The 12,538-nt window shown below is 39.7% G+C and overlaps 1 protein-coding gene across 7 annotated transcripts in view; it reads right to left on the bottom strand.

The window, feature by feature from the left end:
* The window catches only part of ITGB6 (integrin subunit beta 6), a 100,602-nt gene that overhangs the window by 62,756 nt on the left and 25,308 nt on the right, over nucleotides 1-12,538 (bottom strand). For all 7 annotated transcript variants that reach the window (NM_001282353.2, NM_001282354.2, NM_001282390.2 and 4 more), the window contains 3 exons: nucleotides 11,548-11,713; nucleotides 10,143-10,304; nucleotides 6,786-6,881 (listed from right to left, as the gene is read on the bottom strand). In NM_001282353.2, the coding sequence (NP_001269282.1) occupies nucleotides 6,786-6,881; nucleotides 10,143-10,304; nucleotides 11,548-11,713 (424 nt within the window). The remainder of the gene's footprint in view (nucleotides 1-6,785; nucleotides 6,882-10,142; nucleotides 10,305-11,547; nucleotides 11,714-12,538) is intronic.

Genomic DNA, 12,538 nt, shown 5'->3' on the forward strand with positions numbered 1-12,538 from the left:
GAGAATGACAAACACTAAGTTCAGGATACTGGTTACCTCTGTAGAAGGACAGGGGAACTAGACCAGAGTTGGGCAGTTACACAGCATGCAACTAGATCTGGGTTGTTTCATTTGTTTAAAAAATCCAAAGCAAATATGGTGGCAAAATGTTAAAATGTGAGAAAACTGGCAATAAGTATGTGGGTGTTTATTTATTATTATTATTTTTTGAGATGGAGTTTCACTCTTGTTGCCCAGGCTAGAGTGCAATGGTGCGATCTCGGCTCACTGCAACCTCCGCCTCCCAGGTTCAAGCGATTCTCCTGCCTCAGCCTCCCGAGTAGCTGGGATTACAGGTGCATGCCACCACAACCTGCTAATTTTTTGTATTTTTAGTAGAGACAGGGTTTCGCCATGTTGGCTAGGCTGCTCTTGAACTCCTGACCTCAGGTGATCCACCCACCTCGGCCCCCAAAGTGCTGGGATTACAGGCGTGAGCCACTGCACCCGGCCGAGTGTTTATTATATTACGCCATTTTTCCATATGCTTGAACTATATGCTCATCATAAACCTATAGTCTTGGTCAGACCACGTGCCCCCAATTTCTCACTTTGATTGGAACCATAGATTGTGATTACCATAGACAGTAGCTGTTTTAGATGTGCTGACCCAATGCATAGTGTTCCCTAGCTGTGTGGCCTGTTCTTACCACCCAGAGCTTAAACAACCCACGGGGCAGAATCCAAGTGTCTGTCTTTTTTCAAGTCTATGCATCTTTAAATTGCTCTGTTCATCCAAATTAACAGCAATAGGGAAGAACCCTAGATGAAGTATTTCCTGATCTTAAAGCACTGTGCAATTTACAGGGAATTCATCTATTGGTTTAGCTGTCAGGCAGCTCTGCTCTACCCTTGAATTCTATGCTTTTTAAAGCTGGTTGCTTGACCAGGAGCAGTGCCTCACACCTGTAATTCCAGCATTTTGGGAAGTCGAGGTGGGTGGATCATTTGAGATCAGGAGTTCGAGACCAGTCTGGCCAACATGGTGAAACCCCGTCTCTACTAAAAACATGCAAATTAGCTGGGCATGGTGGCACACGCCTGTAATCCCAGCTACTCAGGAGGCTGAGGCTGGAGAATCTCTTGAATCCAGGAGGCGAAGGTTGCAGTGAGCTGAGATTGTGCCACTGCACTTTAGCCTGGGCAACAGAGGGAGACTTTGTCTCAAAAAAAAAAAAAAAGGTGATTATTTTAAAATCTGTGTCTGGTGGTCTAGTGGTCTGCTTTTTCACTATAGCAGGTTCAATTGTGAGTTATCTCAGTGATTCAATTGTGAGTTATCTCAGTGATTGAGACTGTAGATTCAGATTATCTGAGTTCAAATCTTGGCTCTTACATGCAATTTGCATAAGAAGGAGTTTAAATGATAAAATGAGTGCAAAATCCTGAACCTCCAGGGTGCCACCTAATAAGCTCTTGACAAACGTTCCCTATTACACTATTATTATCATAGTCATAGTTGCATATCATCACCAGCCCTCACCCCTATAAAGTGAAGGGCTTGGTCCAACACCATGATATTGTTAGCATCAAAAGCAGTTTTATGATTGCCGATTAATTTGCTGCTCCTTATAGGAAAGATAGTGAATAGAAAAGAGTAAAAACATTGACAGACATGAAAACTCTGACCCCTCAGCTGGAGTCTCTTTCCAGAACACAACTCTAAAATGCCCTCATTCTGTTTTTATAGGCAAAATATTAGTTTACAAGTCTGCTGATGCTCTCTGAGACTTCTTAAGGCAGGCACTACGTCTTATTCTTCTCTATAGTCACAAACTTTGGCATAGTTCACAGGAGGTACTCATGATATGTTTGAGAAATGAAGGAATGAATGACTATGCAGTCTATAGCGTCTTAGTTTCAATGATATGCTAGATATCCTGTGCGTTGTAAATCTGTAAATCTCAAAGCATTTAGATCTCGCATTATTGAAATCCCATTTTAGGCTGGGCACAGTGGCTCACACCTGTAATCCCAGCACTTTGGGAGGCCAAGGTGGGCAGTTCACATGAGGCCAGGAGTTTGAGATCAGTTTGGCTAACTAACATGGCGAAACCCCGTCTCTACTAAAAATACAAAAATTAGCTGGGCATGGTGGCGCACATCTGTAATCCTAGCTACTCGGGAGGCTAGGGCACAAGAATCACTTGAACCTGGGAGGCGGAGGGTGCAGTGAGCTGAGATCATGCCACTGCACTCCAGCCTGGGCGACAGAGTGAGACTCTCTCTCAAGAAAAAAAAAAATCCCATTTTATATTTCTACAAGTATTGGCCTAATCAGGCATCTCATTAAGGTCCTGCTTTAAACCTGTACCTTTTTCTTTCTTGTGTTTACTTTCTCAGTTATGAGGCTTTGAGTTCTTTAGAAGAAAAGTACTATGTGTGATCTAAGGGGTAACTGATGATTTTTCATGGTTAGGATTGGAAAATACTCCCAACAACTCTGACTGATAATCTGAGGACATAAGGTTTATTTCCAAAACCTCCCTCTCTAAGGGATGTTTTCATTAATAAGGAAAGTGTAGGCAGCTGGCCCTCCTCAGTCTTTGTTCCCAGATACTATCAATTAAGGAGAAATGAAAATACTTTCCATTACACTTAAATAAAGAGCAATTTATTACCTCCATGGAGATGTCTCATAATCCAGAAGTGGTCGTTTTACTCCTAGATGATTTTATTTTTACTAAAATCACAAGTTTGGAATACTCCACTACAGAATGAGATTGATAGGATAAAGAATATCTAGACTATGCCCTAAAATTAGCTACATTACAGCTTACTAAACTTTGTTATTTGTGTGGAGGTCATTGGAATTCATGGTAATTTCCCTCCTCCAGAATCAAGGTCATTGACTGTTGAGGCTGAAATCTTCCCGCCCAGTCTTTTTTATTGCCTAAAAACTGAGGCCAGAGAGATAAAGAGATTTCCACTGGAGCAAAATTGTTTTGATCTTTTCCAACAGGAACATTATAAAACAAAACAATAATAGAACAGGCTAACAAATAGCAAAGGGGTCCAATTTTTATTTTCTCTCTCTATTTTCTCTGCCTCTTTTCCTCCCTCGCTGCAATGAAAAGCTCAAAAGAACCAAATAGAAGAAAGAAGAGGTAAAATAACAGCTGGGTTATTGATTCCTGAAAAATGGAAACTTACGTATGGTGGATAATTTCCACAAGCCACACAAGGACATCAGGCTTATAGCATATGCGGCTGCTGTTTATGTTTGTTTATAGATCTAATGGCCATCAGGTGGGTACTTGCTCAGGGTGTTCCTTTTATGGCCTGCTAGAAGGCTGTGGAGCTTCTCCAACATGTTGGTCCTGAGACTGATGGCAGAGTGTTCATCTGCATCCAATGTGGGAGGGATGGAAGAAGGGACAGCCAGGGCTGCAGAAGGTTCTGGCAATGGTCAGGTGCCCCCACTTGCTCTGTGTCTGTGGGCTTCCTCAATCTTAACAAGTGCTTGTCACGCAAAACTCCAAGTCTTTCTTTTGACCCAATTTTAGAAAAGATGAAGTGCAGTTATTGCAATTTTTAAATCATTTGACAAATATCTACTGAGAATCTACTGTGTTTCGAGAATTGGCCTAAACAGATGAGAAAGACCTGTTATTCTCCTCAAACAGTTAATGATTGAGGGTTTTTTGTCTCCAGAGGAAAGGTCCCTTTGGCTGCATAAAAACCTGCTTGTACTCCCCTTCTCTCATGCTTTAGAAACATTGCTTTGTGCTAACAGCCAAGAGATATTAATCAGTGGTCATAGAAGTTAGTGAGTAAACTGGAAGTACCAGTATACTTCTTGTTTACTTTCCAATTGCTGTGTTTCAGCATTACATCACAAATACCAGGTCATATAATAATTATTGCTATTAACTTCACTAAAGTCATCTTTTCAAGCCAGATGTAGATATTTTGAATAGCTATAGGATATTTTAAAGCCTTGGAAATAGCCCACAGTGATTAATAATATGATTCGACAATGTCATAAAGAATGTTGATTTAATTGCTTTTTATCTCAATAGCTTACTAGGAAAGAGAAGCTATTCAGATAAGACAGTTGAGGTTTAGTGGCCTGATACTATGTTAATGTAAATTAACAGTAAACATTTTAAAACTACAGAGGAAATATAAAAACTTTTTTTTAACTTGGGTAATTGAATCCTGATTCAAAATGGTAGTTAGCACTAGAATGTAATATACTACCCACTGCTCAGTCTATTATCATCATTATCTTTCGAACCCTATAATTGGACAAACAGGAAACTATTCATAATAATAAGTTTGTTCAAAAATATTCTGTTGGCTGGAGTCTGGGGTGCACACTACAGCCATACTGAACTGAAGCAAAACTGCTTACTTTATCCTTTTCACTGTTCATCTCTGTTACAACAATGTACAGGCACACTACACACCTGGGCGGTCCAAAGCATTCTACCACAGTTACTAAAAAAAACAGTCATTTTTCCTGCATTCCATGAGTGGGCAACATAAATTTTATTTGCTGCAGACAGGGCCTTCGTTGAACCTAAACCTGTGTGGCCTGTGCAGGCAAGTAACTATGCTTAACGTGTAACTCGGGCAAATAATTTTCCTTCTGGAATTTTCATGAAATCTAACCACTTAATTGCTTTATTTATCTATCACTGGTTTTATTTTTCAGTGATTCTTCAGTAGCTACGTTCCTTATATCGCAGTTATCCAAACATCAAATCGCACAGGACTCCTGCACATACAGGGCTCCTTCTAAAAGATGTGAATTGAAAGGCAACACAAGCCATTAGTGGACCGTTTTCAGTTTTCATTATCAATAAAATGGAAGATCAGCATTTTCATGCTGTGTGAAGGCTTCAAGGATGTGCATTGTTGCTGTTATTATCTTTAGGCCAGGCTGCTGCCTGCCCCTACTAATGCAGATGGAATGATGAGCCCATCAAAATAAAAATAAAACAATGAAACGGTCAGTCATAGAGTGGGTGGCTGACCTGGACTGTCGTATGACCCCTTGAAAATGTCCCTTTGAATTTAGTGAAGGCTGGATGGTAAAGACCACAGATCATGACAGAACATAAATTCGCCTCATAATAAGATTAGAAGACAGGCAAAATCGATGTCCTGCTGTTACATTAGAGGCAGACTCTAATCTGGCATTTTCCTCGGAAATGATCATTTCCCTTGCAACGGGGGAATCATGGATGCAACTAGCTTAAATCCGACAGGCTCTGTTTTGCCATGTAGTTATTTTTCATCTGCCTCTGTCTTTTTAATAGCGGTTTTGGGGAGACGTATAAATGAGTTGTGAGTCTTAAAGACTATTACCAAAGTGAGTTATGGTAGTCTATGTTCACGATCATCAATCGCATTCCCCAGACTCCCCTTTGAAGAAAAGTTCTGTGCAACTCCTCCTCCCACTTCTAAACTGGAGCCTTGCTGTGGAGAAGGTGTTGTGACCCCCAGGGTCCTCTCACACTAGCCTTAAGGATCAAAGGCAGAATAGACTCACTATTGTATTTGGGGGTATTTTAAAAAAGTCTCAACTGCAACTCTACTACTTAAAACCACTGGAAACAAATATCACATACTAAAAAGCCTGAAGAAAATGCCCATATCAGGTGAACCCACATGGGCTCTGCGTAGAACACAGGTTTCAAGTATGGAGCTTGATTGCAAGGAACTTCCTTGGTTTGCAGCAGAAGGCAATCTCACCTGGGAGTACAATACCCTCCTCTCATTCAAAATGCAAGATAGCATCTCCTGCTGGATCCTTTCTACAGAACCTGATGCAAGTTCATGGGGCTGTACCGTCCTTAGTAGTGAGTGGCATTTAATCAAAGCCTTCTGTGACATAATCTCAGAGTTTCAGAAGCCCTGTGAAGTCACCAAGCAAGTTAAGAGGTCCTTTCAAAAGGAATGAGAGATCAAACTCTGTATTTAGGAGCATTTGACACTTCTGCATAGAAGGCACAGACTATTTAATTTCTCTGCATTATTTTTAGGGCCCCTGCTAAAGACTCCTTACTTCTCTGTAAAACTGCAGGAGTAAATCAATTCAGGGCATTTTGACATATTTTTCCTAGGCTGGGAAAAAAAACCACAGAAATCTTTTGTATGTGCATATATCGTATTTTTTTGCAGTTTGCACAGTGGTTTGGGGACAGCACTTCATCTAATGAAACCATTCCCTTTTTGCAGTTGGTGCTTCCATTCAAACACTTGAGCTGCAAATCCAGCTGGTTTAAGGGATAAATTGTATTTTGGCCCCATATAACAAGTTTTTTCCTTTAACTTTCCAATTCTCAATAGCTTGTGTCTCTGTGTGTGTCTTTTCTAAGTATCTAATTTGCAAATGCCAAAGAATGTGAAGTCAATTCTGCTCCCACTCTTAAGATTTTCTCTGTTCTCTGTTAACTCCCTCATTAGATGAAATAATTCAAGGGGACAGATAATAAATTTTCTTTTAGGTAGGCTGTCCTATATTTGTTGATACTCTCCTCCAGCATATCTGTTTCATTTCCTTAACTCAGTCTTTCTCATCCCACCTTATTAGTTCCCCATGCCCTACTGCACCTAGGTGTTTACAATTTAAATTGCAAGCAGTAAATGAGTCCACTTAGCCAAGCGCCCAGTACATTTGGTGTGTGTTAATGATTATCTAATGGCCTTCCCATGTGTTAAACTCACAGAGTTAATGTTAAAGTTTCATGTCACATAATCTCCTTGAAGGAATTTCCCAAGTTATTTTTGCTTACCTCATATAAATGAACTTGTTCTTGGGTTACAGCGAAGATCAATAACACGTTGTTTTGTACCAGTTTATCAATGAGTTGTCCAATTGTTGGATATTCCTAAAATTAACATATATAATTTTGCATCATCTCAATAAAATAATGTAAATAAAGAAAGGAATATTTATTTCAAAGATACCTTTTTGAGTTTGGCATTTCAATGCTCACAGGCATTATAGCTCTATCACTCTAAGTAAACAAATACACAATTAGCATTATTCACTTAGTTGGTTTAATAATCTTTTTCTAAATCTTATAAATCCAGTCAAGTCCTAAGAGTCAGTTCCTGTTGATGTGGTGTATCATGCTCTGCCACTTCTAAGAAGACCATTTGAAATTTATTTAAAGACTAACAGTGTGTCCTATTTTCAAGGGTAGACAAACATTTCTTCTCCTTCTAAGTGACACTTACCAGCAGGCTAGGAATTCCTCAGTCGAGGGAGGGGCTGTTGGACTATAATATACATGACTGAAGTGACTCTTGTAGCTCTGAAACTCCTATTGGAATTGGATGAGGTGGAATGAGGGTTGCTGAGGTATGACATACTATGACATTCCCGTACTAATCCTTGGGTTTGGTTTTACTGCCATTTTAATATCACAAGTTGGTTGCATGGAATCGTGCAATATTTTTACAGGACAATTGAAAACTACATTGTACTTCTGTTCCATTGGCATATTTGTTCCCAAGTGATATGTGTACTGTATAAAAAATAAAAGAAGCTTAATTTTTAAATTGGAATATGGACTTTACTTTTCAAGTTTGGAAAATATTATGTGGCATTTGCCCATTATATGAATCTAAATGTGAATAATGTACAGAGGAAACTCAAGTGAGGTACTAGCCTGCTAACAATTAAATTAAGAATATGTTAATTATGACATAAGTAACATATGTTAATTATGTTAAGGGAGTCAAAGGGAGAAGTCAGCCAAAGGGAGGAACACTGATAAATAAGCCCTCCTGTACACTCATATGGAATATTCACATATTCTTAGTACTACTGGAGTATTTTCATCTAAAGCCTTCTTTAGGCACAAGGTTCAAGTTGAGAGAAAAGTGTAGTTTTGCCTAAAACACTGCAATAAATTACCCAACTGCAAATGGCTATGTCATATGTGATTTCCATCACATTTGGATTTTTATTAATAGAGATACCAAATATTATCCATTTCCTCTGCTTTTCAACTGCGTAAAAATCCTTTACGCTGATGCCTAAATCCCTCCAGTGCCAGTCCCTCCTTATCTCCACGTGTTCCCACACTCCTTAGCTGCTGTGTGTGTGTAGCCAGGATCACACCACATAGTCCTTCGAAGGTGAGCGAAGCTGGTTTTCTATTTGAATCAGATCTGTTGGTTTAATTCCCACAACCATACTGTAAGTTCAAGGCCAGGAACCACCTTGTATTATTTTTTGGCCTGAGGAATCTGGCCTGAGTTTTGAGTACACAGGAAGTGCTCAGAGGACCCGGGGGCTATGTTGCAGGCAGGCATAGATACGGTCTCTGGCTTCTGTGGATTTGTTACAACTTATTCAGAAAGAACAACTTGAACATTTATTAGCTGAGAAGTTCATATTAGGCAATAAGTAGTGTTAGCTTTTATGAACCTGCCTCGTTCAAAATGGAGCTTTTTGTGGTGCTTTTGAAAAGTTGCAAGAAAAGGGTAATGAAAAGGGGATAAATTTTCCAGTTTCTTGCCCCTCACTGACTAAAAGACAACATGCGGCTATCCTCACTGATATTGTAATATGAAAAGGCAGAGTATGTGATTAAAGAATATACACATTTGGGGAATACTACTGATCAAATGTTTGGGGAAAACATTCATGTCGAAATTTAGAAATTTAGGTCAAGGAATAGTAGTGAGTAATGAACTGTTAAGAGTTTTTAGAGAATAGTTTTCCAATTGACATTAGAATTCTAGGTTCCCGTCTCCCTCTTTCTCTCCCCCTGCACCCCCACCTACACCTCCACAGCATTGTTCTAAGAAGTCACTTAAATTCTCTGTACCATATTTCCCCAAGTGTTAAATGGGGAAAATATGACAATCTCAGACTGCTGCTTCAGAAATCAAATTTATTTTTTTATTTTTTTTTTTTTTGGAGACGGAGTCTCGCTCTGTCGCCCAGGCTAGAGTGCAGTGGTGCGATCTTGGCTCACTGCAAGCTGCGCCTCCTGGGTTCACACCATTCTCCTGCCTCAGCCTCCCGAGTAGTTGGGACTACAGGCGCCCACCACCACGCCCGGCTAAATTTTTGTATTTTTTAGTAGAGATGGGGTTTCACTGTGTTAGCCAGGATGGTCTCCATCTCCTGACCTCGTGATCCACCGCCTCGGCCTCCCAAAATGCTGGGATTATAGGCGTGAGCCAACGTGCCCGGCCTCTATTTCATACATTAGTTGGCACCCACTGTGTTATAGGCACTGTGCTATCAGGAAACAGAGATAATAAACCAGGTCTGGACCTGAGGATTGTGCAAGAAAGACAGACAGATGTAAGAAAACATATTTCTACATAGAGATGCACAAGAACACATCTGCGTATGCAACTGAAGGGAAAGACAATTGCTTCAGAGCCTGGCAGAGGTCAAAGAAGGCTCTCTGGGGGCAGTAATGACTGAACTGGCTTTTCAAGGATAATGAAGAGTTTCTCAGCAGGCTAGGAAGGAAGGATATTCCAGGCAGAGGGAATAACATGTGCACAAGCATAGCAGCCTCATGGTCTGTTCAGGAAAAGCAGCTGGATACATAGGGGTCTATTGAGGAGATCATGCATGTCCAAAGAGCTCTGAAATTTTTTCCTGGTTTTACAAGAGTTAGCTGTTTTCTTTGAATGTCACTAGCATTTTATAAATGACAAAAAATAAGCCAAAGGTTAACAAGCACCAACCAAGCCATACCTGACTAGTTGTTACCCATGGAACATGAAAGGATGGCCTGATTCAAGGACTATCATTCACTGCAAATCCTATGTGGCTACTGTTCTGGTCTGGGTCCCTCCTTTCTGAGGCTGTGGCTGAGAATAGAATGAGCTGCCTGTATTGCTTTACCAGCACCAGGATTTTTGAGAAGTTGGGGAGGTTCTGGGATCATGGGATTCATAGCAGATCTAACTTCCCACATGTCCCACCGTCCACCTATGCTCTGGTGGGAACCTCTGAGGATGGTGAGAATCGAGCTGGGGCAACTTGTTAATCCCACATTAGAAAATGTGCACTGCTTTCACCAAGTGTATGTTATTTCACATGTATTACACTAGTTGTTGCTTCGTTCTCCTACTTATAGCCCTGAAAACAGTACAGAGTGCAGGTTACACACCAAGACAGTTGACATGGAGTATTCATTCTTGCTGTCCAAGTGACAGAGCCCGTCATTAGGAATGACGATGCCTGCTAGTTTGCTGTCCATTCCAAAATGAGAATCAGCATCACTCACAAAGACCAGGAGGTGGAGGGAGTCATTCCGCCAGCCAATTTTTTCCTACAGTGAGAAAGAAACATTTGTGTGATATTGGAGGGAGGCAGGCATTTATTGAGTGTGGATCAATTATGCTTGGACACATTTAGGTTATAAAAATAATATTGCTAGTCTATTTTAGCCTTTTTATCTATCGTGAATTGATAATATTAATGTTTTTAATAAAACATGAAATTCTGTGACATTTGCTTTTTCCTGGATAACATTTTCATATGATTTATGCTTCAGAAAAATATAGCTCCACTACAATCGGTATGCAGTTAATCTTGACTTTTACATAGTTCAATTATTTTTACTATCCAGCTTTCAATTCTCCAAAAAAATTGAGCAGAGGAGGTCATAGATGGTCCCAAATCCAAATTGAAGCCAAACTCATCAAAATGCAATGTTAAAGGGGCTCAGAGTAAGCCTGTTTCATTAAAATGTCACCCAACATTTAGGCACATATTTCTCTTTCCAATGATGTCATCCAAAAATTATGAACCTAATACAAGGATAAGAATTGCTTATGAAAGTATGGCCCGAAGGTCCTGTTAATTAAAATTGTCTGTTGTTGGTGTTTAGTAAAGCCCTCCCCTTTAATTAATATTAGTCCAGGAACTAATTGGGTAAAAACGCATCCTGGCTCTTCCATCCCACCTTATCCCTTTCCTTCCTCCTCTAATTCCTTGGCCCTCCCACCTTCTAGGAGCTTCAGCCCTGTTTATTTCCTGATATTTTTCATGAAGGGCTGTTGCCTAAAGACAGGGGAATAATTCTTGTGGATACTTGTCAGACAGTCAAGGAGGAGCAGTGTTCCTGTAATGTTGTAGAGACAGCAAACTTCCGAAGCTTATTGTTGGTTCAAAACAATAGCTATGTAGTCATATGTATGAACATATACTGACGTAGAGCATTTTAACTTTTTAAAATAAATGTTCTACCCTTGATTTTTTTATCATGATTAATCCAAAAACTAATCTGATCTTGATCTTTGAAAATCAATCATGCATAGCTATTGTTTCAACTAAATTTTCCCAACACGACAATTTTCTTAGATTATTCAAATAGTAGGCAGAAAGGACAGTCCCCATTTCAACATGATTTAATTAAACATTTGGTAAAAATTGTGTATTTTAAGAAAAATATGAAATATAGAAATTTAGAGATCAAAGGAAAGGAAATTAGCTAATCTTTTTGAAGTAGAATTATTAATAAGAGATGAATTTTATGTTAACAGAGTGAAACAGCACTCCCTTCAGCATACCTTACACACAGCAGCTTGCATAATTGCATCAAATCCACCTTCGGGTGTGTCAATATTAGCAGAAATTTTCTGATTCTTCACAATTTCATTGAATCTTTCAGCATCATTTGTCAATGGCAAAATGTGCTTGAATCCAAATGTAGGTAAACAGAAGTATGGAATACTACTGCAAAAGTAAGATGCAAAAATACTGTTGATGAAATATGATGCCACACACAATTAATGGATCTAATAGCTTAGCAACATTCTCCTAAATGAAGATTAGTTTTTCTAAAGGGCCTGACTCTGCAACTCAGCTATGAATCTCACTGTTAAGGTTGTTGACATCATCCCCAACCCTTTCTATGTTGACCATATTCGCTGACACTTATTTAGAGCTTATTGTGTGTCTTGCACTGGCTCAAACTCAGATAACAGATAATCAGGTGATCAGACTCCAGTGTGTGTGTGTGTGTAATCACTACCTTCTATGGGCTCCCAACCAAAATTCACCACTAAGTTAATACAACGACAATTCCTTTGTATTCTGATATCTCAGGCTGTCATCAAGTGTGAATCACCCTGTAGCAAGACAAGAGAGGAACCTGTCTTCTTTTTCCTTTGCTCCCTCCTGTACTCCCAGGTCTGCCTGCCAAGGGCCCAACAATTGTAGCAGCATTCTTGATTTGAGAGTCCAACTCTACTGTGATTGAATAGGCCAGTCTAGAAATAAAACCACTACTTAAGGTACAATGTTACGATGAAATCTGCACCAAAGATATTACAGTAGAACACAAAGGGCTGATCATGAGTTCAGCCACATCTTATTTTGAAAGCAAGTTTCTAGCTGTGCATGAAACTTTGGGCAAGTTACTCAACACTTCTGAGCTTTGGATTTTAAAATGCGGATAATCGTATAGAGGAGAGGTTCTCCAACTGAGATCCCTGGCCCAGCATCATGAGCATCACCCGGCAAATTGTTAGAAATGCAAAATCTGAACCCCTACCCAAG

This window comes from Homo sapiens, chromosome 2 (assembly GCF_000001405.40).
Source record: "Homo sapiens chromosome 2, GRCh38.p14 Primary Assembly".
Taxonomy (NCBI): domain Eukaryota; kingdom Metazoa; phylum Chordata; class Mammalia; order Primates; family Hominidae; genus Homo; species Homo sapiens.